General features: G+C 36.3%; 1 protein-coding gene across 14 annotated transcripts in view; it reads left to right on the top strand.

Annotated features, from left to right (window-relative positions):
• Positions 1–26,124, top strand: part of DIAPH3 (diaphanous related formin 3) — a 498,346-nt gene that overhangs the window by 298,519 nt on the left and 173,703 nt on the right. For 13 of the 14 annotated variants that reach the window (XR_002957478.1, XR_002957480.1, XR_941672.1 and 10 more), the window contains 2 exons: positions 3,874–4,003; positions 25,962–26,086. Coding sequence is in view for 10 of the 14 variants with exons in the window: in NM_001258368.2 (NP_001245297.1) it covers positions 3,874–4,003; positions 25,962–26,086 (255 nt within the window). In the remaining 4 variants the exon portion in view is untranslated. Of the gene's footprint in view, positions 1–3,873; positions 4,154–25,961; positions 26,087–26,124 lie in introns of those variants that run through there. The other variant, NM_001258370.2, reaches the window with a different exon arrangement.

Below are 26,124 nucleotides of genomic sequence, written 5' to 3'. Positions count from 1 at the left end.
AAGATTTAGCGTTACAAAGTTTACATAAGTTGTTACTCATCTTCAACAAAATTAACACTGTATTCCAAGCTTTACTTGTTCTAGCTCAGAAACTGATTATGATATGAGTGAGTATGATATGAGTAGGAGTAGAATGTGCCTTTTTAGTTGGTAATTTTCATTAATGAAATGAAAAAAATATTGAGCAAATGGATAAGGACCTAATACATTTTATGCTTTGATGCTTTTGGAAGACTTTTTAAAAGATGGTTAGAGAGAGGGGAGGGAGAGAATAGAGTAGTTGAGGCAGGAAGAGTATCTTGGCAGCATTGTGAAATTTTTCTAGAGAATGTTAGAGCATAAATGAAGAATCTCTGCCCTGGAGTTTAGAGCTGCATAGTAGTTTATAAATGAGACACCATGCATGATCAACAACATGCTTCTTTTCTGAACCTCTTATTTATTAGGCTTAGTTTCAAATTTATTTACATGAAAGTTTGAGTGGTGTCTTTCAATTGTTAAATACCCATTTTGAAATGATAGGAATATTGTGCTTCCCTTTACTATTCAGTGAGTGTACTTTTTAATACTAGATTGTTCCCATTATGCTGCTTGCTACTCAGTTGATGTTTTCAACAAGACAACCCATGGTAGCACCCTCCTCCTAAATCAGTGTTTAGCTTTATAATGGTCTCTGAATAACTCGAATCTGTGTTTGACTTGAGTATTTAACATTTATTAAACTAAGTTGCTACAAACTACATTGTTTTCCATGATTCTAAATTCTGAATTCTCATTGCTTACAAATAAAGACCAAGAGCAATCCAGTTGGTTGTTCTTCCGTCATTGAGATTTCTTGATACGTTAATCCTAGCAGTTGCTGGCTGTTTAGCTATATCACAGATACTATTGGAATACTCTTTCTAGGCTTTACAAATTGTGAAGGTAGATGGTGATTGTCTTAACGTTCCAAACAGTCTACAAGGGTGTAGACTAGTAAAAATGGGTTGCCGAGAATTCAGAGTAGGAACAGTGTTCCCCAAGTAGTCATTGCTGTAAATGAGGGTGGGTGAGATAAAGGATCTTTGCTACTAGGGTGCTTTTTAACAAAACAGAATACAACTTTCATGTTAACTTTTGGTGGCTGTGCAAAGAGAAAACTGTTTGTAAAAGTTTGCTGCTTTTAATCTGGCCTTACCTATTTAAGATGATAGTATGAATGAAATTATAGGATTGTAACGAAACTTAAAGATTGTATTTGACATTCATGAGTCTATATGTAAAAACAGAAGCCCATAGAATGATTCCAACTGACCCAAACACACAGAAATAACTCTGAAATGAGATTATTACTACATTTCTCCACTCTTCCAGTTTTTAAAAATTAAATTGTACTGTGTCTACTAACTCTTAGTTCCACTATAATGTATACTTAACATTTTTAGAGTAAAAAGTGAATTTAGAGTTTCTATGTTGTTTCATTTTCTTATTTTACCTGTGTGAAAGCTAAGGTCCAGTAATGTGCTCAAGACTATTAATTAGTCAAGGACATGTTTTAACATTGCCAAATCATCCACGTATGTTAGTGACTATTTGTCTAGGTAGTCAATGGAGTCATGTTTTTGAGGCATCCTCTTGTAAAACACTCAGCTCTATGTTGTGAAATCTGTATTTCTTTTAAACAAGGTACCAAATCATGGACTAAGTGTTCATATTCAGTCTGTTTTTAAAGTACTGGGAACCACTGTATAAGTTGCATGTTGTGTAGGTCAGCATAGCATTTGAACCTATTACATGTGTCATGATGTGAAAGTAAAGCTGTCTAGGTGGGTAGCTCACTGTTCCCGGCTCTATGATAGTTTTTGAATCAATAAGTAGTCAGTATGTTAATATGTCTGATGGTACGGAAATCTCCCATTCTTCCACTACTGGACTTTAACAGTTATTTGGTATTTTTCTGATAGTGATAGAATATTTAGTGAGGTTGGATTTTTTAAAATATTACTTATGGGAATTTATTTAGGAGCCAATTTTAAAGTTGGAAATTCTTGGAAAGGAAGCAAGTAAGTAGTACTGTGCCCAATTAGGTATGCCTTGAATTTCCAGCTGTAAATTAAATTCTGGTAGAAAAGACTGATTTTTTTTTTAACCCTTTATTTGTATCTCTGCTCTAAATGATTACTTAATGGTAGGGAATGCTACCAGATTACCTATTAGTCCTGTGTTCATACCACTCCTCCTTGCCAATACTTTCTATCCCAACACTACACAAAACCCAAGCTAACTTTTATCATTGTTGAAGTTTTAGCTTAACTACCTCTCCCTGTGATTGCACTCCTTGGCCATTTCAGATTAGGATTGGTCCACCCTGGTCGTCTCAAGCCCGTAACCTCTTTTCATTCATTCTACATACCTGTTTATGTTAATTTGATCAACTAATTAGCTTTGGGAGGAAAGGGGTCACAAGTTGGTGCCCCAGTTTATTCCTCTGAGGTTTAACCATGTATTTTCAATAGGTATCTTTCAGGGATAAAAAGTTGGTTCTTGGAGAGCAAAAATGTCTTACTTGTTTAACCAGTTTTTAGGTGTAAAACACAGATATGCATACAGTATATAAACATAAATGCATCACCTTTGTGATTTTAAAATTTTATAGGTGCAGTTAGGAAAAAAATGCCTAAAAACTTCTTAGGGGGCAATCATGAAAAAAAATAATGAAAGCACTGTTCTATACATAGATAGATAAATGTATATTCTTTCAAGACATTTCCACCTGGGTACTACTGAAAAGCTTCAAATTTACCTTGTCCAAAACAATTTTCTTCTTTGGCCACCTCACACAAATCTGTTTCTCATCATTTCTGACATGGTAGTTAACAGCATCACCTGGGTTTCCACACCCACATGGTCTCATTGTCCCCATTTCCCAGGCACAACCTCCATTCAGACTGCCCTCTTTCCCTGCCTGATTATTGCCATGGGTTTTTAACTCACTCTTCATGCTTCTCTTAGTACTCTTGCCCTAATCTTTTTAGCCACACTCACTGGAGGGAGCTTTCTAAAATGTATATCTGATCATCTCTCATCTAGTTGGAAAACTTATATTGCTTCAAAATCAAAATCCTACTTCCATTGCATGCCATTATCTTTCCTTTTATTTTTTGGTCTTTTCAGATTTATATCTTTGCCATGTCCCTACATGCCTTCCCTAATACAGATACACTTTAATTCTGGAGTCACTCAGCTGCCTCAGAGGTGTCATATCCTTCCTCATCTATAGCCCTTGTAAATGCTGCTCCATGAGCCTGTGTTAATGCACTTTTGTATTTTTTCTTTCTTTTCCCTAAGCCCATACAACTTCCTGTCTTTGAAGTCTCAGTTCCATTGTCATGTCCTCCTAAATGAAAGTTGTGATTATTTTTACTATACTATTTGTCACACCAAGGCAAATACGTATATTTTTTAACTAAACAGCTTCTTGAGGAAAGTCTATGTTTTATTTGTTGTTAGGTCTCCAACTACTACAGTAGCTAGTAGGCATTCTATGGATATGTGCCAAGTGATAAATGGATGAATGCCAAGGATGTTTAAATACTACTATTAAATAGACTCATAGGTTACTCTGTTTTCCTAGGCATTTTCCATATTTTTTTCTATAAAACATTGCATGCTCGATTAAACTTATTCCTTTTTTGCGACAAATAATGATTTTCACCAAGCAGCAAGTCAAAAGTAGTTTTTCGAGTATTTAAATATTTGTTTTTCAAAAACGAAATCAACTAATTTTACAACTTTTAGTCCTTATCTACAAAATACAGTATTAATATTATTTAAGTAGACAGAATATCAACATACTTATGACTCTGTGTTTTTTCTCCCTCCTGTTCTATTTAGCTAAAGGACACAAAATCAGCAGATCAGAAAACAACGCTACTTCATTTCCTGGTAGAAATATGTGAAGAGAAGTACCCTGATATACTGAATTTTGTGGATGATTTGGAACCTTTAGACAAAGCTAGTAAAGGTTTGTGCCTTTTTAAGAAACATTTCATGGCTCTGATCTTCAGTGCTAAAAGACTGAAAATTATACCTTTTATTTGTATGTACTTTCCACTTTCTCACAGTGTTTTCATACCCAATATCTCATTTTAAAAATAAAGAGAGTTGTAGGATATTATGAGTTGTCATGATTGGAGCTATGAGTTTAATTTGTTTAGTTAGATGATGAGGCCTTATATTATAAAATACTTTGTTTTACAGTTTAAACCTTGTAGATACCTGCTAGCCCTACCTTCTACTGCTAAATCTCCTGCACTTTTTGGCCAGGGTGATGCTCTCTTGATTCAATGTCATTCATAGGCACTGATAGCCTATTACATACCTGATACCAGAACCAGCAATCAGTGTCCCTCCCTACTTACCTGAGTACCAAATCTATCTCTGCCCAACTTGTTGGTGCTCTCTTTTTTTGTTATAGAAGACACCATACTGCCAGAGTTTCATTTCACTCTTTCCTAATGCCCAAATTTCTAACCTGATTCTAGTCTCAATTGTGGGCTTAGATCAGGTCATAAAGGGTCATAGAACGGATAGAGCTATTATTAATACTTGGTTATAATATGATTTAAATATAATTTTTTGACTACCTTAATAATTCAATTTTCTTTTTCTTTTTCTTTTTTTTCCTTTTTTTGAGATGGAGTCTCGCTCTGTTGCCCAGGCTGGAGTGCAGTGGCGTGATCTTGGCTCACTGCAAGCTCCGCCTCCCAGGTTCATGCCATTCTCCTGCCTCAGCCTCCTGAGTAGCTGGGACTACAGGCACCCGCCTCCATGCCTGGATAATTTATTATATTTTTAGTAGAGACGGGGTTTCACCATGTTAGCCAGGATAGTCTCGATCTCCTGACCTCCTGATCCGCCTGCCTCAGCCTCCCAAAGTGCTGGGATTACAGGCATGAGCCACCGCGCCCGGCCTCAATTTTCATTTATATTTCACATTGATTCTTTCAACTTTACTTGGTGTCAAACAACCAATTTATGAATACATTTTGGAAAACAACTCATCTGGAATGCTGGAATATCTGTATTCTTTTTTTGTTGACTACTAGTCATTAGTAATATGAAATTGTCTTTATAACCTCTTTATTTTCTTTTTAATATTGGAATTCATCAACTTGAAGGATATTTTATTGTTTTCCATATTAGAGTGAATATTTCTTCTTTAAAAAAAATTAATTTTATCTTTTCCTGCTCCCTTTAAATTGTTCTTCTTCTATAAAATGAGGATTATAGAACTTTATTGACAAAGAAGCATGTGATTGGATGAGATGTTCTTTGAAACTTTGTTCTGAGATGTATGTTTCCTTGAAGTAAATATTTCATATGGCCTGTCTTGATTTGTAAGACAAAAAATAAGCCTTTTACTTAAATTTTCACTAATAAATCCTAGTGTTCCAATGAATTATTGAATTACTCACTTTACCCCTCTGCAACCTGAAAATGTCCTTGCTATAAGAAGAATCTTCCCATATATATAGTTATAGATGTTTTAATAGGATTCAAGAAGGGAAAATAATTGAAATTATTTTCTTGTGTTAAATCACCTGAGATAGGGCAAAAGGGCATTGAACTGAATGGGTTGTAAACATTCAGAATCACTCAGTGATATTCAAAATAACTTTTACCTCAGGGAAATCAACTCTCCTAAAGAGAGAATTCTGATATTTTGGATTTTTTGACCAAATGGGATAAAAAAAAATTGGAAATGAGTATTCTTGATGGACATTAATCAGTTTGATAGATAACGGAGTAGTGGATGAAAACATGGTAGGTACAAAGTGCCTTGAAATACACCGGGAGTTTTTTTCCTGGGGAAAAACATGGTTGAGTAGATGTATTTTTTATTGTAGAATTTATTGTTTAGCAGGTTTTGCTGTAAATGAAGTTTTTGAAATATTTATGTTGACTCATACTTAAAATTCTTTATTGATATTATAATTTGTTCTTTAAAAATATTTACCTTTGATAAGGACTTGCAGAACTGTAACTTGGTTTGGTTCTTCTGGGTATTTTTCTTTTTGTTGTTTTTGTGTTTCAGCAGGGCGTTCTGGGGTTTTGGGACTTTTTAGTTTCCATCTGTTAAGAGTGGAGTCTAGTGTCTGTGTATGGGTCAGCAGACACCGTTAGTATGTTTCACAGGGAGCAGCCAACTTCATCTTTAACATAGAAAAGCCATCACTGAAGTACTTTTTATAGTATAGGTGATTGTTAAGCATAACTTTTTTATTATTATATTACTTTATTAATGAGATTTGAGGAGAAAATGTAATATTTTGAATGAGGTAAGTGTGTTTGCTTTGGAGTATTTTAATGCTCTTATACACGTGTTATATATCATCATTTAAAAGTTTCCAGATTTGAAACCTCCTCAGTGAGCTATCACATGAATTAAAAAGTACCTTTGTTTTTGAGGCATAACAAATCCTGGTCATTAAGTACTCCTAGATCAGCAGGGAGAACTTTCATTGCAACTAATGAGCTTACCTGTATGACAATTTTCAAAAATCTACTTCATTAGGACTGCTTCTTTTCTAAGATATAATGGCTTACAACTTTTCTGTTGCATTTCAGTGGAAATATTTTTAGTCATTATTGTATTTCTGTATACCATTGTAATATTTCTCTCTTTTTGGACTTCTAAGGTTCAATACATTTTTCCTTGTCTAAGCAGTTAAAATTAATCTATAAAGGTTTTATTGATTACTTCCCAATAATCTATTTCATTATTAAATTTTATTAAAGAGTAAAAAATATGACAAAACTTACTTTTTTTTGTTGGTGAGTATATTAAAATAAAACTAAGGTAAGTTTACAACATCACCTTGGTCTGACCTTTTTAGAGTTATAATTCCACCATGTATTTCCATCCTTTCCTAGTCAACTCTTAATTCTAGAAATACCGTGCTAGTTCAGTCTGTAACTCATTCATCCAATCACTAACTTAACAAGCCTTTATTGAGTGATTACACTGTGTCAGAAACTGTGCTCTTGTCTTACTCTTGGTTCAGGTGTAGTGTCTGTGTCTTAGTGAAACCCAATCTGTCTCACTCCCATCTAGCTCTTCCCCAGCTGGCTCTTCCCTCCTATGGTCAATTTCCTTTACTTTCTCCTCTTCCTCTGTGCAGTGTCTATGCATTGCTTTTTTAAAAGTGCTTTTCACTAGCCTAATGGTGAACCCTTCTCTTCTTTTCTCCCTAGATCTTCTCTTTAGGTGATGTTTTCAATTCCCATAATACCACCATTATGTTAAAGACTTACAAATTTATATCCCAGACTTTCCTTCTAAGATCCACACTTCTATAGACAACAGCTTTTGCTATTTCCATAGCATCTCAAAAAGGTGTCAGAATCATATTATGCCACAAAATGGGACTTTTGATTCCTACACCCTTAACCTCTCCTTCCAAATTTTGTTTACTTGAAAAAATCCTGCTTGGCTCCCCTTCTTTGGATATCTTTTCTCTCATTTGTCATATCTCTATATAGCCTTCAGCATCTCAATGCAGAGCTGCATGGTGGCTTTTGCCTAAGTTAAATCCATGGGAAGTGGCAGCTGTGGCAAGAATGTTGTCTAGTTTTCTCCTTCATCAAGAAACTTAAAAGTAAATGTCACCTTCCCTTTGGTGCTTTTTGCTGGGAACCTCACCTAAATTTGTGTATTCTACTCTTTATTTAAGGATAAATTCATACGTTTTCCAGGAATTCTTATACTTTAGGAACTGCTGCTCTAGACCAGGGATTATTCCTGGGACAGCTGTGAATAGATTTAAGCTTCTAGAAGAGATCAATATTCAGTGTATTATCAGAGTGGATTCAATGTTAACTCATTTTTAATTTTTGCCATATTTCTCTGTTTCCATATTTTACCATTAAGAGCATTCACTGATATATTTGATTTTTAAATCCTTTCCATTTAATACTATGCTTTCTGCTTCTAAGACTCTGTTTATATGTTTTTAGCTAGCAATTCCTTGATTTGACCCTAATATTTGTCTGCTCAAATACGTCTCCTGGTTTCCAGTTTCTCATGCGTTTCCATCATTTTATGATAAATGTCTTACTAAATACCAAATGTTTATCTTTTATTCACCTACTGTGAGCACTTAGAACACTTAATTTCCAGGTGGCAACCACCTGGAAAATTTATAGTGTTTGAAAATTTCAAATTTATCTGCTATAACCAAAAGACACGTTAACCTCTTTGTTGCTATAGCCTTCTAAAAATGCCAGTTACAATTTGTTAGTGAGTTTGATACATATTTTGAATAATCAGTATTAGTTATTAGTTTAATTGCATTTTATATCCCCTGCAGCAGAGTCAACAACACAGCTAACATTATATTGGTTGGAATCATTATGTCGTGGAGGTTGTAGGTTGGGGCCTCATAATTTGTGTACGATATATTATTTGGTCTTTCAAATCAGGAGTAGAATATTAGAATGTTATGAAAAGACACTTTTTTTTTTTTTTTACCAATATCTGCCTATATGATGTAGTTAATAGGTTACATTGTTGGTGGTGGAAATATTTATGATAAAATAATTTAGTTATAGAAGACAACCATGTGGGATGTTGCTTTTATTGACTGGTCAAGGGAACAAAAATGTTTTCTAACTGTTACAAGCTGTACTGTTCCCTCATAAATTCCTATGTTAAAGCCCTAAACCTCAGTATGTCAGAACTTGACTATGTTTGGAGATAGGGCCTTTAAAGAGAGGAGAGTTAAAATGAGATCATTAGGATATCCCTAATCCAATCTGACCTGTGTCCTTATAAGAAGAGGAAATTTAGAGTCACAGCCATTCAGGAATGTACATGTACAGAGGATAGACCATGTGAAGACACAGTGAGGAGGTGGCCATCTGCAAGCCATGGGGAGGGGCCTGGAGCAAATCATTTCCTTATGCCCCTCAGAGGAAACCAACTCTGCCAACACCTTGATCTTGGACTTCTGGCCTCCAGAATTGAGGAAATGAATTTCTGTTGTTTAAGCCACTCAGCCTGGGGTATTTTATGAAGGCAGCCCTAGCAAACTAATATACTAACTTAAGACATTTTTCTCATTTGCTTAGTGGTCTTTGGCTATAGAATACAGTAGCCTATACTGAATGGTTTTTCACTTTATCAAATCAGTTGAAGTAGCAGTTGTAGAGCTGCTGTGTTGGATGTGCACTAGTAATCAATTTAGAAATATCAAAGATTCTTCTACAAACTGAATTATCAGATGTTTTGAAATAATTGCAAGTATGCTTCAATTCCTCTTTTGAGTAGACATGAAACATAAAGTAGTACATGTATAAGGATATATTAAGGCATTTTAAATAAATATATTCATGAAAATTCTCATTTAATTTCAGGATTAGATCTACGGCATTTCCTAGATTTTGTTTTAGAATACAGTTAATCATACTATACCAAGTTTTTGTTTTGTCTTTTTCTTTTACTCACTATATCCATATATATATATATCCATAAATATATATATGTTTCTTTTCCATTTCTCCCTGTTTTGCTACTATAATAGTTGTAATTTTCATATAAGCAGGTAACTGATAAACATTAGTAACACTCTGAGTTATCTCTTGACACCTTTCCAAAAGTAAGGCATAGGTGGATGATGTTACTTTTTTTTTTTCATTTTCCTGTGGGAATAATGAAAGTATTTAGTATATCCAAGTTGTGTAGTGCTGGTTCTACAGATAGACTGTGGAGTAAAACCTATGTTCGTAAAGCCAGCTTATGACTCCTAATGGTTTTATGTCTCAGGGAACTAATTTGACTATCTGCAGTCATCTAGTAAGTATACTTAGGAATTTACTTAGGAATTCTAAAGCATACATTAGTATACTTTACATTTATATTTAGTAAGTATACTTAGGAATTCTAAAATAATTTTAATGTTAATATAAGCCAAATATAATAAAAGTTAAATTTATTTTTAAAATATAATTTATATATGTTTGCATATACTTACCAAAATGTTAGAATATGTACAATTTTATGTTCAATAAATTAATACTTTTTTCACAAAAAGGTATGATGAGATATAACTGGGCCATTCCCAAGGTAATTACAGGATTTGTGAAAAATATTTGTAGTGTATTGCAAGTGTGGTATAGTGGTAAGAGACCACATATTTAAATCCTGCCAGTTTATTTCCAGGGATTATCTGTATAGAGTTGGCATGAAAAGTTTAAGTTGTAGACTTGGATATGAGATTGTAAGAGTAATCATTTTGCAGTGCAAATATAAACTGTGTTGGAAAGCAGCAGAGTGGAATAGAAAGAGAATGTCCCAAAAATCACTAGAAGGATTAAGGATTCTGTAGATTGACATTAAAGAACACTGGGCACAGAGGAACTACTTGCAGCTAAAGATTGCTTTTTGAGATACTGAGCTAGGAACATTTCCTGAATCTGCTGTGGCTTGGGCTAATAGATGATGATGAAGAAGAAAACCACATCAGGAAGACCTCTATATCTTTTTGGAGGTTAACAGGCTGAAAGTGTCATCAATACATCATTAATCTTTTCGAGAAACTAACAGTTTACAGTGTTTGCAGATTTTGGGCCAGCTACGGATTTGAAGTAGCTACTTGAGCAGTTCTGTCAGTGTCACCTATGAACTATAGCGAACATCAAGTAACAGGACAGTATCACCAGTGATGACCAAGGTTTTAGAACTCTCTTACACTTGTGGCTGTAAAGCAATATTTACTGCACCTTAGTTTTGCAATATGAAGTAGGTGAAAGAAAATTTCAGAATAGTATATTCTGAAGGACAGTTTAACATAACAAATCTGTGTACTACAAAGAAACCTAAGCAGTAGATAGAGCAAACACATTAATGGCAATCTTATGAATCTTGTTGGAGACAAGGTTGACATGTAACCAATTGGGGGAAGAGGTATGGAGATAATCAAATGCTGCAGGTAGAATTGTCAGCTGCTCTCCAGAAACCAGAATGTATTTATGCATCTTACAGAATCTTGAATTAGTAGTTGTATTGGTTTGTTAGGGCTGCCATAACCAATTACCACAAACTGAGTGCCTGTAAACAACAGAAATTAAGTCTCTCACTAAAGTCTCTGAAATCATAGTATTAGTAGGGTTGGCATCTTCAGAAGACTCCAGGGGAGGAAGCATCCATGCTTCTCTTCCAGCTTCTAGTGGCTACTCAGAGTCCTTCGTGTTCCTTGGCTTGTAGATGCATCACTCCACTCTCTGCCTGCATCTTCTCACCATCTTCTCCATGTCTCTCGGGGTCCTCACCTCTGCTTATGGACACTAGTCATTGGATGATGTCAGTCACAGGATGATTTCATCTCAAGATCCTTAACTAATTTCATCTGCAAAGTTCCTATTTCCAAATAAGTCACATTCTGAGGTTCTGGGTGGATATGCATTTTTGGGGGGCACTACTCACCCACTACAGTCATCTTTGGCATAAGTCCTATAACTGCATGGAGATAGCACTGTCATCTTTGAGTATTATGAAACAGTGCATGGAAATTATACTAATAAGCATATCTGGAAAGCATGTATCATTAAATTGTGAAATAGTTTGGTTTTTAAAGTTATTGTTAATATGCTTCAGAAATACCCTTTTCTTTGTCATTGTGTGAAAATACTAAACCAGTTAAAACTGAAATTATTGTATGCCTTTGTATTAGTCCGTTTTTGCATAGTTACAAAGAGCTACCTGAGACCGAGTAATTTATAAAGAAAAGTGGTTTAAGTGGCTCGCAGTTACACAGGCTATACAGGAAGAATGGCTGGGGAGGACTCAGAAAACTTACAATCATGGCAGACGGCAAAGGAGCAGCACGCACATCTTACATGGCTGGAGAAGGAGGAAGAGAGTGCAGGGAGAGGTGCTGCACACTTTTAAACAACCAGATCTCGTGAAAACTCACTCACTATCATGAGAACAGCAAGAGGAAAACTCACCACCATGATCCAATCACCTCCTATCAGTGCCCTTCTTTAACACTGGGGATCACAATTCAACGTGAGATTTGGGAGGGGACACAAATCCAAACCATATCAGCCTGTGAATTTAAGGAATTTTTTTATTGATAGGCCATGATAACAGCAATAACTGTAATAAGTGATTTTAGTGGGCAAAATTAAAAATGTGTTTGCAATTAGATTATAGAAACATTATATGATAGGAGAAACTGTTATCTGGACCATGGACTCTGAGGTTAGGTAACTGGTTCACCTGGAGTTGAAACCCCAGCTTGTTATAGGTATAATCTTAGACAAGTTTCTTATTCTGTCTGAGCTTCCCTTTTCCTACCTATAAAATGGGTGCAATATTAGTACTTAACCCAGATGTTTGTTGTGAGGATTAAATAGGTTAATATGTACAAATGTTTATCAAGTTTGAAAAGTACCTATTAATCATTATATAAATATTCTCCATGTTTCTTATAGTGTGGGTGTTATTTTTCCGTGATTATTTATTGTTGGCACACATCTGCCTGTCATTAACAGTGCAGGTAAACATGAGTCTATGTGAATAATGTGTTAGTATAGAATTTTAATATGTATTGTCAGAAATTTGAACAGATTCCAACTGTGTGTTGCCTGAAGCTTATTCAAACTTTAGAACATAACGACTGCAAATTTTGTAGGCTTATGTTAGTAGTTTTCTAAAAATGTTGGTACTTTTCTAAAAATTAAAGAATAATACACATGCAGTTACATAAGTGTACAGGATCATAAGTGTACAGCTCAATGCATTTTTACGAGTTGGACATACTAACATAGGGAATGGAATTTGGAAAATGAGTTCTATTTTTCTGCCTCTGCTTCAGCCTGCAACACGTTATTTTGTATTTTGAACTTTGACATAAGATTTCTTTTGAAAACGGAGTTCTAGTACTAAACAACCTTTGAAAACAACTGGTCTCCAGCAACTCTTCAACTCTGAGTTTATTTTTCTGGAGGTGATGCATGAATTTAAAAAAGAAATTTTTTCATTTCAGCCAAGAATTATGAAGGAATGCCATATGGAAATATGAACTACTTTATGAGAAATGATATAAGTGCTAGGAAAATCTAAAATAATATTTATTCACGCTCATAGGAAAACCTAAAGAAAATAAGATATTGGGTAATCGTCCTTTCTCCCCTCAGAAGAGATCACCTTTAAGTATAGATTTAAAATTGATCAGCAGTGAGACCCTTTTGTCATATAAGTGTCTACCACTGTGATGGTGGCTTCTTGGCAGCTATCTTTCAAACCATATTTTATGGAAAAAAGAGCTAGTGTTAATTAGTAGTTTTTGATATGTTTTGACTCTATAAGGAAAGGACTCTCAAAACAGCTTATTGAACTCCTGTTTGGTAGGCATTGTGCTAGGCACTTGTATTAGCAAGGATTAGGCTTGACTGTGAGTGACAGAAAAAAAAAAATAAAGTTAGTTTAAATAAGATTCATCTATTTGGCTGGGCGCCATGGCTCACGCCTGTAATCCCAGCACTTTGGGAGGCCGAGGCGTGCGGATCATGAGGTCAAGAGATTGAGACCATCCTGGCCAACATGGTGAAACCCCGTCTCTACTAAAAATACAAAAAACTGGGCGTGGTGGTGCATGTGTGTAATATCAGCTACTGGGGAGGCTGAGATAGGAGAATCACTTGGACCCGGGAGGCGGAGGTTGCGCCATTGCGCTCCAACCTGGGCAAAGAGCGAAACGCTGTCTCAAAAAAAAAAAAAAAAAAAAAAGATTCATCTATTCATTGTTGAATCAGTCATTTACTGAATACCTCATCCATTCCAAGGCACCAAAGAGCTGTAAAAACAAAAGCCTCTGCTTTCTTGAAGTTTACATTTTAGGTGGCAGATATAGAACCAAGCCAATGAAAGAAGTCAATGTATGTCTTATGTCTGACTCTGGCATGCCAGGGCAGGGTTTTTTGCAGTTTTAGATTGAGTGGTCAGAAAAGGTCCTGTAGAGAAAGTGGTCTTTGAGAAAAACATAAAAGAGTCGTAGAGAGGCCATTTATGTTGGTATTTGAGAGAAGACTATTCCAGGCAAAGGGAAAAGCAAGTGTAAAGGCCTCAAGGTATGGAAGTGAGACTGGAGCAGAGGGAGAGAGGGGGAGCATAATAGGAGATAAGGTCAGAAAGGTAATAGATCCTGTAGGGCATTACTGTCCATTGTAAAGATTTGACTTGATCATGGTGGATAAGCTTTTTGATGTGCTACTGGATTCGGTTTGCCAGTATTTTATTGAGGAGTTTTGCATCAATGTTCATCAAGGATATTGGTCTAAAATTCTCTTTTTTGGTTGTGTCTCTGCCCGGCTTTGGTATCAGAATGATGCTGGCCTCATAAAATGAGTTAGGGAGGGTTCCCTCTTTTTCTATTGATTGGAATAGTTTCAGAAGGAATGGTACCAGTTCCTCCTTGTACCTCTGGTAGAATTCGGCTGTGAATCCATCTGGTCCTGGACTCTTTTTGGTTGGTAAACTATTGATTATTGCCCCAATTTCAGCTCCTGTTATTGGTCTATTCAGAGATTGAACTTCTTCCTGGTTTAGTCTTGGGAGAGTGTATGTGTCGAGGAATGTATCCATTTCTTCTAGATTTTCTAGTTTATTTGCGTAGAGGTGTTTGTAGTATTCTCTGATGGTAGTTTGTATTTCTGTGGGATCAGTGGTGATATCCCCTTTATCATGATCAAGTGGGCTTCATCCCTGGGATGCAAGGCTGGTTCAATATACGCAAATCAATAAATGTAATCCAGCATATAAACAGAGCCAAAGACAAAAACCACATGATTATCTCAATAGATGCAGAAAAAGCCTTTGACAAAATTCAACAACCCTTCATGCTAAAAACTCTCAATAAATTAGGTATTGATGGGACGTATTTCAAAATAATAAGAGCTGTCTATGACAGACCCACAGCCAATATCATACTGAATGGGCAAAAACTGGAAGCATTCCCTTTGAAAACTGGCACAAGACAGGGATGCCCTCTCTCACCGCTCCTATTCAACATAGTGTTGGAAGTTCTGGCCAGGCCAATCAGGCAGGAGAAGGAAATAAAGGGTATTCAATTAGGAAAAGAGGAAGTCAAATTGTCCCTGTTTGCAGACGACATGATTGTTTATCTAGAAAACCCCATCGTCTCAGCCCAAAATCTCCTTAAGCTGAGAAGCAACTTCAGCAAAGTCTCAGGATACAAAATCAATGTACAAAAATCAATAAGCATTCTTATACACCAACAACAGACAAACAGAGAGCCAAATCATGAGTGAACTCCCATTCACAATTGCTTCAAAGAGAATAAAATACCTAGGAATCCAACTTACAAGGGATGTGAAGGACCTCTTCAAGGAGAACTACAAACCACTGCTCAAGGAAATAAAAGAGGATACAAACAAATGGAAGAACATTCCATGCTCATGGGTAGGAAGACTCAATATCGTGAAAATGGCCATACTGCCCAAGGTAATTTACAGATTCAATGCCATCCCCATCAAGCTACCAATGACTTTCTTCACATAATTGGAAAAAACTACTTTAAAGTTCATATGGAACCAAAAAAGAGCCCGCATCGCCAAGTCAATCCTAAGCCAAAAGAACAAAGCTGGAGGCATCACACTACCTGACTTCAAACTATACTACAAGGCTACAGTAACCAAAACAGCATGGTACTGGTACCAAAACAGAGATATAGATCAATGGAACAGAACAGAGCCCTCAGAAATAACGCCGCATACCTACAACTATCTGATCTTTGACAAACCTGAGAAAAACAAGCAATGGGGAAAGGATTCCCTATTTAATAAATGGTGCTGGGAAAACTGGCTAGCCATATGGAGAAAGCTGAAACTGGATCCCTTCCTTACACCTTATACAAAAATCAATTCAAGATGGATTAAAGATTTAAACGTTAGACCTAAAACCATAAAAACCCTAGAAGAAAACCTAGGCATTACCATTCAGGACATAGGCATGGGCAAGGACTTCATGTCCAAAACACCAAAAGCAATGGCAACAAAAGCCAAAATTGACAAATGGGATCTAATTAAACTAAAGAGCTTCTGCACAGCAAAAGAAACTACCATCAGAGTGAACAGGCAACCTACAAAATGGGAGAAAATTTTCGCAACCTACTCATCTGACAAAGGGCTAATATCCAGAATCTACAATGAACTCAAACAAATTTACAAGAAAAAAACAAACAACCCCATCAAAAAGTGGGCGAAGGACATGAACAGACACTTCTCAAAAGAAGACATTTATGCAGCCAAAAAACACATGAAAAAATGCTCATCATCACTGGCCATCAGAGAAATGCAAATCAAAACCACTATGAGATATCATCTCACACCAGTTAGAATGGCAATCATTAAAAAGTCAGGAAACAACAGGTGCTGGAGAGGATGTGGAGAAATAGGAACACTTTTACACTGTTGGTGGGACTGTAAACTAGTTCAACCATTGTGGAAGTCAGTGTGGCGATTCCTCAGGGATCTAGAACTAGAAATACCATTTGACCCAGCCATCCCATTACTGGGTATATACCCAAAGGACTATAAATCATGCTGCTATAAAGACACATGCACACGTATGTTTATTGCGGCATTATTCACAATAGCAAAGACTTGGAACCAACCCAAATGTCCAACAATGATAGACTGGATTAAGAAAATGTGGCACATATACACCATGGAATACTATGCAGCCATAAAAAATGATGAGTTCATATCCTTTGTAGGGACATGGATGAAATTGGAAATCATCATTCTCAGTAAACTATCGCAAGAACAAAAAACCAAACACCGCATATTCTCACTCATAGGTGGGAATTGAACAATGAGATCACATGGACACATGAAGGGGAATATCACACTCTGGGGACTGTGGTGGGGTGGGGGGAGCGGGGAGGGATAGCACTGGGAGATATACCTAAGGCTAGATGACGAGTTAGTGGGTGCAGCGCACCAGCATGGCACATGTATGCATATGTAACTAACCTGCACAATGTGCACATGTACCCTAAAACTTAAAGTATAATAATTAAAAAAAAAAAAAAAAAGATTTGACTTTACTCTGAGATGAGGAGCCACTCAAAAGCCACGGAAGGTTTTGAGCAAAAGAGTGACATCTGACTTAAATTTTCAAAGGATTGCTTTGGCTGCTCTGTTGAGGAAAAAGTGTAGATGAATAATGGTAGAATGAGTAAAACCACTCTGATGCTGTTAAAATAATCTAGAGGAGGAATAATGTTGGCTTGGATCGGGAAGAGTAGTGAGGGTGGTAAGAAGTATTTGGAAAACGAATGCATTTTGAGGTTAGAACCAGCAAGATGCGCTCTATGGTTAGATGTGTGCGGCATGAAAGAGAAAAGAGTTATAAAAACTAATGATTTACTGCGATGTAGGGGCAAGTCAAGGAGGAAGATAAATTCTAATTGGAAAAGTGAGTTTAAGGTGCCAGCTAAATATTAAGGAAACATGTCCAAATAGGCCATTGGAGTTCAGGGGAAGGATCTAGGCTTGAGAAAAAATTTGGACTTTTTTGAAGTCCAGCTAATACACAATCTTGGAATTGTGAGGCTGACCTGGTCTCCAATAGCAGCAAGTGAAAACTAGTCTTACTTGAAAGTCAGTCAGTCTGTGCTTAACATTTCCCCTGTGACAAAGTAAAAAGCAGTAAAATTGCCCTCCCATGTACATGTACACAGAACCATTATACTAAGGGAACATTTTGAATATTGTTATTAAACATTTCTGTTATGCACCTCTTATGTAATATTTATACCATGGTTTTGAACATCTTATCTAAGGGAATTCTGAAATCTTATAGGTAAACATGATTTCCTTTGAGATGGGCTTCTCCCACTAATACACTTTCTCTTCTAAAAGGCTGCCGCCTTTAATACCCTCTTTGTACTTGTAAAGGACAGGGCTGGCTCTTTCTTTCAGGGGATGAAATAGCTCAACAGAATTGACTGGGGGCCTTTAATTGGTTGTATTCATTTCCTCTACTTGCCTTCTCCCTTTCTTCTTTCCATGTTCCATAGCAGATGAAGGCATTTCTCTTGCAGTATTATGTAAAAACAACAAAAATTAAACCATCATTGCATACAGTATAGTAAATTAATTAAGGAATGCAAATTCCATTTGTTATTACCTGGGGTTCCATCAAGAATCAGAACAATGGGAAGAAAGAAGATCTGAGTCAGGTAAGTCAAGGAAGGTACAACTACTTGATGAGGATGACTGGCTGTTCACTTAGCATTGCTCCTTTGTCTTTCTTTTTTTTGAGACAAGATCTCCCTCTGTCGCCCAGGTTGGAGTGCAGTGATGCAATCATTGCTTACTGTAACTTCAAATTCCTGGGCTCAAGCTATCTTCCTGCCTCAGCCTCCTGGGTAACTAGGAGTATAGGCAGGCACCACTACCCCTGGCTAATCTTTTTAAAAAAATTTATAGAGATGGGGTTTCACTGTGTTGCCCAGTCTGGTCTCAAACCCCTGGCCTCAAGTGATCCTCTCACCTCAGCCTCCCAAAGTGCTGAGATTACAGGAGTGAACCACTGCACCCGGCAGCACAGTTTCTTTCAATTTATCTTTGCCTGTTACGAACTAAGCTACAATTTATTTTTACTTTGATTTTTTTTCAGTATTGTTTTAGTTTTGTATCTTTTTGTCATGTAATGGATTTTATAATGGTATTCTAGAATTTAGGTTTTGTTGTAGACCTACTTAATAGTCAAGATTTTTTTTTATACTACTGAGGTTTGTTTTGGACCACCTTGTCCATACAATTTTATTATTTTAACTTGCATTTATAAAATGTTGCTATAGCTTTATAAAATGCTTTTATTATTACAGTTGTCTAGGAAGAAATATATTGCTTGGAGCCTGAAACTAAATAATTTTGCACATGAAACAATTGATTCTATGAGTGTAGGAAGGTTTGATTTAGTTTGCATGTTTAAATTGTCTATGGTAATAAGTTGTTCTTTAAGCTTTCCTTAAAGAAATCAATTTCCCTGGATTGTATCATGATGTGTAAGAGTGAGTGTGGCATTTTTTAGTAAGCTTATTATGAAATAATGACCAACACCTCCAGGAGATATTCATAGAGGATTTTTTTTTTTAATTACAAAGATTATGTAACCTCTCCTTTCTTACTTGAAATCTTAATCTAGTAAATCATAGAGGCCATGGTGTTATAAAAAGCATGTATTCATGACTGCTTTAAACTTAAATATTTATAGTTTCGATTTTAACTTTTACTCTAAAGCTTCTTTAACACCTCTGGTGTATAATTATCATAATAATAAGACACTTGGAGGAAAGCCTGTGTCTTTGATTTTAATGTCTGGGATATTTAATCTGTTATATTTTCCTGTTTCATTTTTAACGCTCTTATCTGGCGAGGTTAAAGTTAAATCCAAAACCCATTCCTTCAGCAAACATTTGGGTATCTGCAATATGTTTTGTAACGAAAATACAAAGATGAATGGTGTCTTATCTTAAGGAATTCCCAGCCATTTGGGAGAGGAAGACAGATAAAAAGATAAATGTAAATAGAGAGTAGTAATTGCAAAGATAGAGATAATTACTAGTTGTGATTGGGAGAAAGGGCACTTTACCTGTGTACTTGCTGTAGTTTTTGATTCCTTGTAAATTATGAATGGTTATGACCCAGGGGTGAAGTGCACAAGGCAGATAGACACACATTATTTCCAGGATCAGGTACAGATTAGATGAAGAGGGATATGGGCAGGGGAACTATAAGCAGTATGTATTTTGGAGATGAATATTTGGCAGGATATGAAGTAGAGCACCCCAGGTTGTAGGTGGGGCTTTGTTTAGGAACTCAGATGTTATGTAACCAGTTTACTGACATGCATTGAACAGGAAAGGGGCAGCTTTACTGATTGTCTGGAAACCCCTATGCACAGTGTGAAAATGACGCTGGAGAAAAACTGTAGGAGACCAGAGATCAGAGAAGACAAAAGGGTTCCCTATGACTTTAAAAGTGTTAAGTCAGCCAGGCGCGGTGGCTCACACCTGTAATTCCAACACTTTGGGAGTCCAAGGCAGGCAGATCATGAGGTCAGGAGTTCAAGACCAGCCTGACTAACATGGTGAAACCCCGTCTCTACTAAAAATACAAAAATAAGCCAGGTGGTGGTTTATGCCTATAATCCTAGCTACTCAGGAGACTGAGGCAGGAGAATTGCTTGAACCCAGGAGGCGGAGTTTGCAGTGAGCCGAGATCACACCAGTGCACTCCAGCCTGGGCAACAGAGTGAGACTCCATCTCAAAAAGAAAAAAAAGGAAAAAGGAAAAAAATGGTGTCTCAAAAAAAAAGAGAAAGAAAAAAAGGTGTTAAGTCAGGAAGGAATTAAGTACTATTTGTCAAGTAAAATGCCTGAGTGTCATGATTGTTTGAATCTGAGAATTGCAAGAGAGGAAAGGGTCAAGACCAGCAGGTTTCTAGCACAAGAAATGGGATTTATGGTCCTTTTGCCTTCTGTGGTATGGAGATTACACATAGGGAGCAGGTTGGAGATAGAGACACATGATGTCTGAAGTGACTGAGAGATGTCATCTGGTGGAATGTTAACTGAGGAAAATGCAAAAGTCAAAATTGTCTAGCTAGCTCTGTTTGATGATGGCTCTGTTTTGTTAGTTTTCTTCCAAAGAATGAACAGGAATACAAAAAATATGATTAATTTCTTGGTGAGAAGATTGAAAGATAAAATTCACACATAGGTCACATACAGAGACACCAGTAAATTAAAAATTCTTTAAGAGTGTACAATTTAATACTCCCTGATATAGTTTTTGTTTTGTTTTGTTTTTTCCTTTTTTTTTTTTTTGGGATGGAGTCTCGCTCCGTCACCCAGGCTGGAGTGCAGTGGCGCGATCTCAGCTCACTGCAAGCTTTGCCTCCCGGGTTCATGCCATTCTCCTGCCTCAACCTCCTGAGTAGGTGGGACTACAGGCGCTCGCCACCACGCCTGGCTAATTTTTTATATTTTTAGTAGAGACGGGGTTTCCCCGTGTTAGCTAGGATGGTCTCGATGTCCTGACCTCGTGATCTGGATATAGTTAAGATTTTTAAGACATAAAATATAGTTCCTGACCTCAAAGAACCTGATACATGTGAAAAATGTGGCTAAAATTATGTTTGAAGATACATACAAGAATTGTCTATAGAAATAGAATAATTGCTGAAAAAATAAAAACACCAAGGGAATTCTTTTTTTTTTTTTTTAAGTTCTGGGATATATGTGTAGGATGTGCAGGTTTGTTACATAGGTAAACGTATGCCATGGTGGTTTGCTGCATCTATAAACCCATTACCTAGGTATTAAGCCTGCCATGCATTAGCTATTTTTCCTGATTCTCTCCCTCCTCCTGCCCGCCACTCATACAGGCTCCACTGTGTGTTGTTCCCCTCCCTGTGTCCATGTGTTCCCATTATTCAGATCCGACTTATAAATACAGCAAGGGAATTCTTAAAATGCTCTTTAGTTTTACCCATCAGATGGCATACATTTTCTTAGCCCAGAATTCTCACGCTGCTTTCTTTCTTCCAAGTGTGTGTTGGTCCTTATTTAAAAACCAAGTGAGAGGTTGGTCAATTACATTTAAATCTGCTTAACCATAATGTGCAAATAATGTGCAAATAATCAGAGACTTCTGGTGAAGCACAAGAAATGGCTTAGTGAGATTTGCATCTGTAGAGTAGCCTCAAGAACCATTTTATTTTTTTGAAGATAGCTTGCTTACTCTTTATGAAATGTCTGTGAGGTAAAAATACGCGGTGAGATCCTTCTCATTTCACTAATGTGGAAATCAAGCCCAGGAGAAATTGCTTCCAATCATAAAGAGCATAGTTCCTGACCCACTGACAACCACAGAATTGGAAAAGTCACAGGCCTTTTATCCAGTGGACTAAGTCCCTCTCCCACCTAGCTGAGAAGCACTCACTCATTGGGGTAGCTCTATCTTCAGTTACCAGTAGCTGGCTTCCTCTGAGGGCAGCCTAGACTTTAGGCACCTCTGAGAATGAGCCAAAAATGTGCTTCTCTTACACCTCCCTACTGGAATTCTGCCCTCTGACCAGACATGTACTTCTATATCCATACGGTACAATGAAAAGTAAATATTTGGTCTTTGCCCCCTGGTTCCTGACACGAAGCTCCTAGAAGTTTTGGAATTTCCTGAGTGACACATATTTTGTATGTTAATGTAGTGACTAAAGACAGGTAGGGGTATAGCTTCAGGATGAAGACTGGTTTCTAGAAGTAGTAAACATACGATTAAAGGGTTAGAACTGTGGGCTTATACCCAATGTATGGGTGCGAGAGGGGCTGAAGATTGAGCTCAATCACAAATGCCAGTGATTTAATCAATAGTGCCTTTGTAATGAGGCTTCAATAAAGACTGAAAGAGGTTGGGGGAGCTTCTGGGTTGGTAACACATGGATGTGCTTGGAGGGTGGAAGTGCTGGAAGGGCAGTGAAACTGTGCACCACCCCCGTCCCACCATTCCTTGTCCTGTACCTCTCTTCCGTTTGGTTGTTCATGGGTTGTGTCCTTCATAATAAAGCTACAATCATAAGTATAGTGCTTTCCTGATTTCTGTGAGTCATTCTAGTGAATTGTGGAACTTCAGGGAAGGGAGTTTTGGGAATCCCCAGATTTATAGCGAGTCAGTCTAGAGTGGTCCTCTAGACTGGCAACTGGCATCTGAAATGAGGGTAGTTTTGTGGGAGTGAGCCCTTCTACCTGTACAGCCTGACACTAAATCTGGGTAGTTAGTATCGGAATTGAAGGATTTTCTCCTTAACTTATGGAGTCTGCACTAACTCCAATTGTAGGACACCCAGTTGGTATTGGAGAATTAGACAATTGATTGGTGTTGGAACAATGTATTTGGTGTCAGAGAAAAAATCAAACAATCTATGTTCCCTCCCAACATTTGCCCTGTGCTTTTTCTCATATGGGAGTCCCTCAGACCTATTGGTCTGTTCTCTAGATCTTTTGCTAATTTGACATGTGTGCATAATAAAATTGGTTGAGCAGACTAAGTATTTTAAGTATGTGGTTTTGTTCAAGGTGAGATACCACTTTAATATATATAGTACTTAAAAATAAATACATATATAAAAAGTTATATATATATAACTGCACACTCACCCGTCCATCCAGAATGCTTAGGCATATATTCCCTGGGTTTAGGCAGGGAATATGGATTGCTTGTGATTGCAATGGGCAAGAATGTACAAGAAACCCCTTATTATGTGAAAATTATATCTGTTTATTTAAATGTTACTGACAGGGGTTATGAAAACAAAATGGTAATTTCTATAATAATTTATATATAACACAGTGGTTAAAAATAAGGTCTGGAATGAAACTGCTTGAATTCAAATTCTAGCTTCACCAATTTTTAATTTGACCTTTTTACTTACCTACTGAGCTCCAGTTTCCTCATCTGTAAAATAGGAATAATAATAATGCCTACTTCATGATGTTCTGGTGAGGATTGCATGAGTTAATTAATAGAAAACACTTAAGACGGTACCTGACATACATAAACACTTACCACATTTTAGATGTTGTTATTACCATTACTATTATTTTTATTGTCACTGCTACTAATATAACAATTACTGCTACCATTATACTACTAATACACTACTTTTTTGAACCTAATTTATAGCACAAAGTAGATGTATGGCTTATAAACATTTCTGAGCATGTATTTACTTAATAAAAGAGACAGGGTCTTGCTCTGTCACTCAGGCTGTGGTGCATTGGTGCCATGACTGGTCACTGTAGCTTCAAACTTCTGGGATCAAGCAATTTTCCCACCTCAGCCTCCATATTAGCTGGGACTACAGGCACATGCCACCATGGCTGGCTAATTTTTTTTTTTTAATTTTTGGAGGCACAGAGTCTTGTTGTTGTCCAGGCTGGTCTTGAACTCCTGGCTTCAAGTTGATCCTCCTACCTCAGCTCCTAAAGTGCTAGGATTACAGATGTGCATCACCATGCCCAGCTTGCTTTTGAACCTTTATTTAGTCAGAAGTTGCAGAGTTTTAGGAAGTATAAAAAGTGACTGAACCACCTGTAAGAGTTCTTGAAAAATGATAGAGGAAATGCTAATGAGACTTTAAGGGAGAGATCAAATAGACTAGGAGAGCAAAAGGAATCTCTTATGTAATGCAGATAGAGAACTTTGAAAGAAGCAAAGAAAAAAGTTGGAAACGGGAAGAGTAAATGAAACACCATTGGCCTAATCAAATAGAATCTTGGTTGTGGATAATTGACAAGCAGACATAAAAATGAAAGAGTATAACATAGGAAATATATGTTACCACTATGAGCAATGCACAGCAAGGTATTGGAATAATTTAAATAGTTAAAAAGGTAAGAATATGTGATTCTTAAATTTGAGACAATGACTCAGATAATAGTGTGTATTATTATAGCATTTAGTGTGTAAATTCAAAGTATCACAGAAAGGGAATACGTGAGAAGGAAAAAAAAAACCTACTGAGAAAATATGCATGAGTGTAAATCCAGACTAGCTTCATCATAGTGGGAGCAAACAGTTAAAGTACCATCACTCTTCAAGCACAAACAAGTATTATATGTGGTTCTCGGAAGAGTTCAATCATTGGACTCCTTAAACGTTGCATCTGAGAATTAGATTGCTAATTTTTTAAAATAAGAAAATACATTTAGGTTTTATTAAAAGCTGTTAATGTCAGAATACCAAATGTTATTTTCTGTACAACCAGGTTAAAAAAACAATAAAACACCATTTCATATTCTTACACATTATTTTTAATGTCTCCTTACTATTTTATTCTTTTGAACCAAGCTAAAATTAAAAAAAAAACAACTCAGTTTCATTTTGTTGGGCATTTAGATTGCTTCCAAGGATATTCCTATCCTTATAGATAAAACTTGAATTGCACCCATTCTTCAGGATTAATTCAAATCCTTCAGGATTAATTCAAATCCTAAGAATGGCAGATTACCTTGAATTACTGTATTCATTCTTTAAACATCATTTTATATAGTTCACATTGAACAAAAACAATAGATTTTTTTTTAACCTAGAATTCATTTGTACCTAAAGCAAATATTTTAAAAGTTGGTTTAGGTCACTCTATCTTCTTTTTGCACTATTAAATCTTTTTCCTGGTGTCATATAAAATTGACTATGAAAAGATTTTCAGAAATGATCCTTAATGTCTGTTCTGCTGGGTGGCTAGTATATTCTCATAGTGACACAGTGCCCTGGTTTACCATTTCTTCTTCATGTGTACCGTGAGAGCCACTTTAAGTCAAAGAAGGAAAAATATTATTAGATAATAAACACAAATTGTGTTCAGGATATCAGCAAAGAAAGCTTGACATTTGTCATTATAAGTAGCCTCTGATACCTTTTCTTTCCCATTGTAGATAAGCTTGGACAATAAAAAACACTTTTCCCCATCTTTCCCATCTACTCACTGTTCCCTGTCAAGAGATGATTTTGAAAAATGTTCAAATTATATTTAAATCAGTCCAATTTTAAAAAATGTTTTCTTTTTGTCTCTGAATAGACTGATGATTTTGTAGTATTTCCAATGGTCAAGAATTCTAATGAAACTTATTTCTGAAGTGTGGTTTATTTGTGTGTGTGAGCATTTCTTAAATTTTGTCTTACGTTTTAAAGACTGTCTTACTGAATTTCTTTTATAACTAGATTTTAAATTGAAAGGTTAAAAGTGAAATTTATTTTTATTTTATAATGAATTTTCTTACATTATTGTGAGTTGTTTTCATGAATGTTTTGTTTCTAGGGTGTCTTACCTTTTATATATTATAATTTTGTCCTTTCCGGGCATTTAATATACTCTCTTTTAGTCTCTGTAGAAACGCTGGAAAAGAATTTGAGGCAGATGGGAAGGCAGCTTCAACAGCTTGAGAAGGAATTGGAAACCTTTCCCCCTCCTGAGGACTTGCATGACAAGTTTGTGACAAAGATGTCCATATCCTTTTGATAGCTAAATAACTTAAGTCACTAGTC

The sequence above is a fragment of the Homo sapiens genome, chromosome 13 (assembly GCF_000001405.40).
Source record: "Homo sapiens chromosome 13, GRCh38.p14 Primary Assembly".
Classification (NCBI taxonomy): Eukaryota; Metazoa; Chordata; class Mammalia; order Primates; family Hominidae; genus Homo; species Homo sapiens.
The sequence above is the reverse complement of the archived record's forward strand: the minus strand, read 5'-3'. Positions and strand labels throughout refer to the sequence as shown.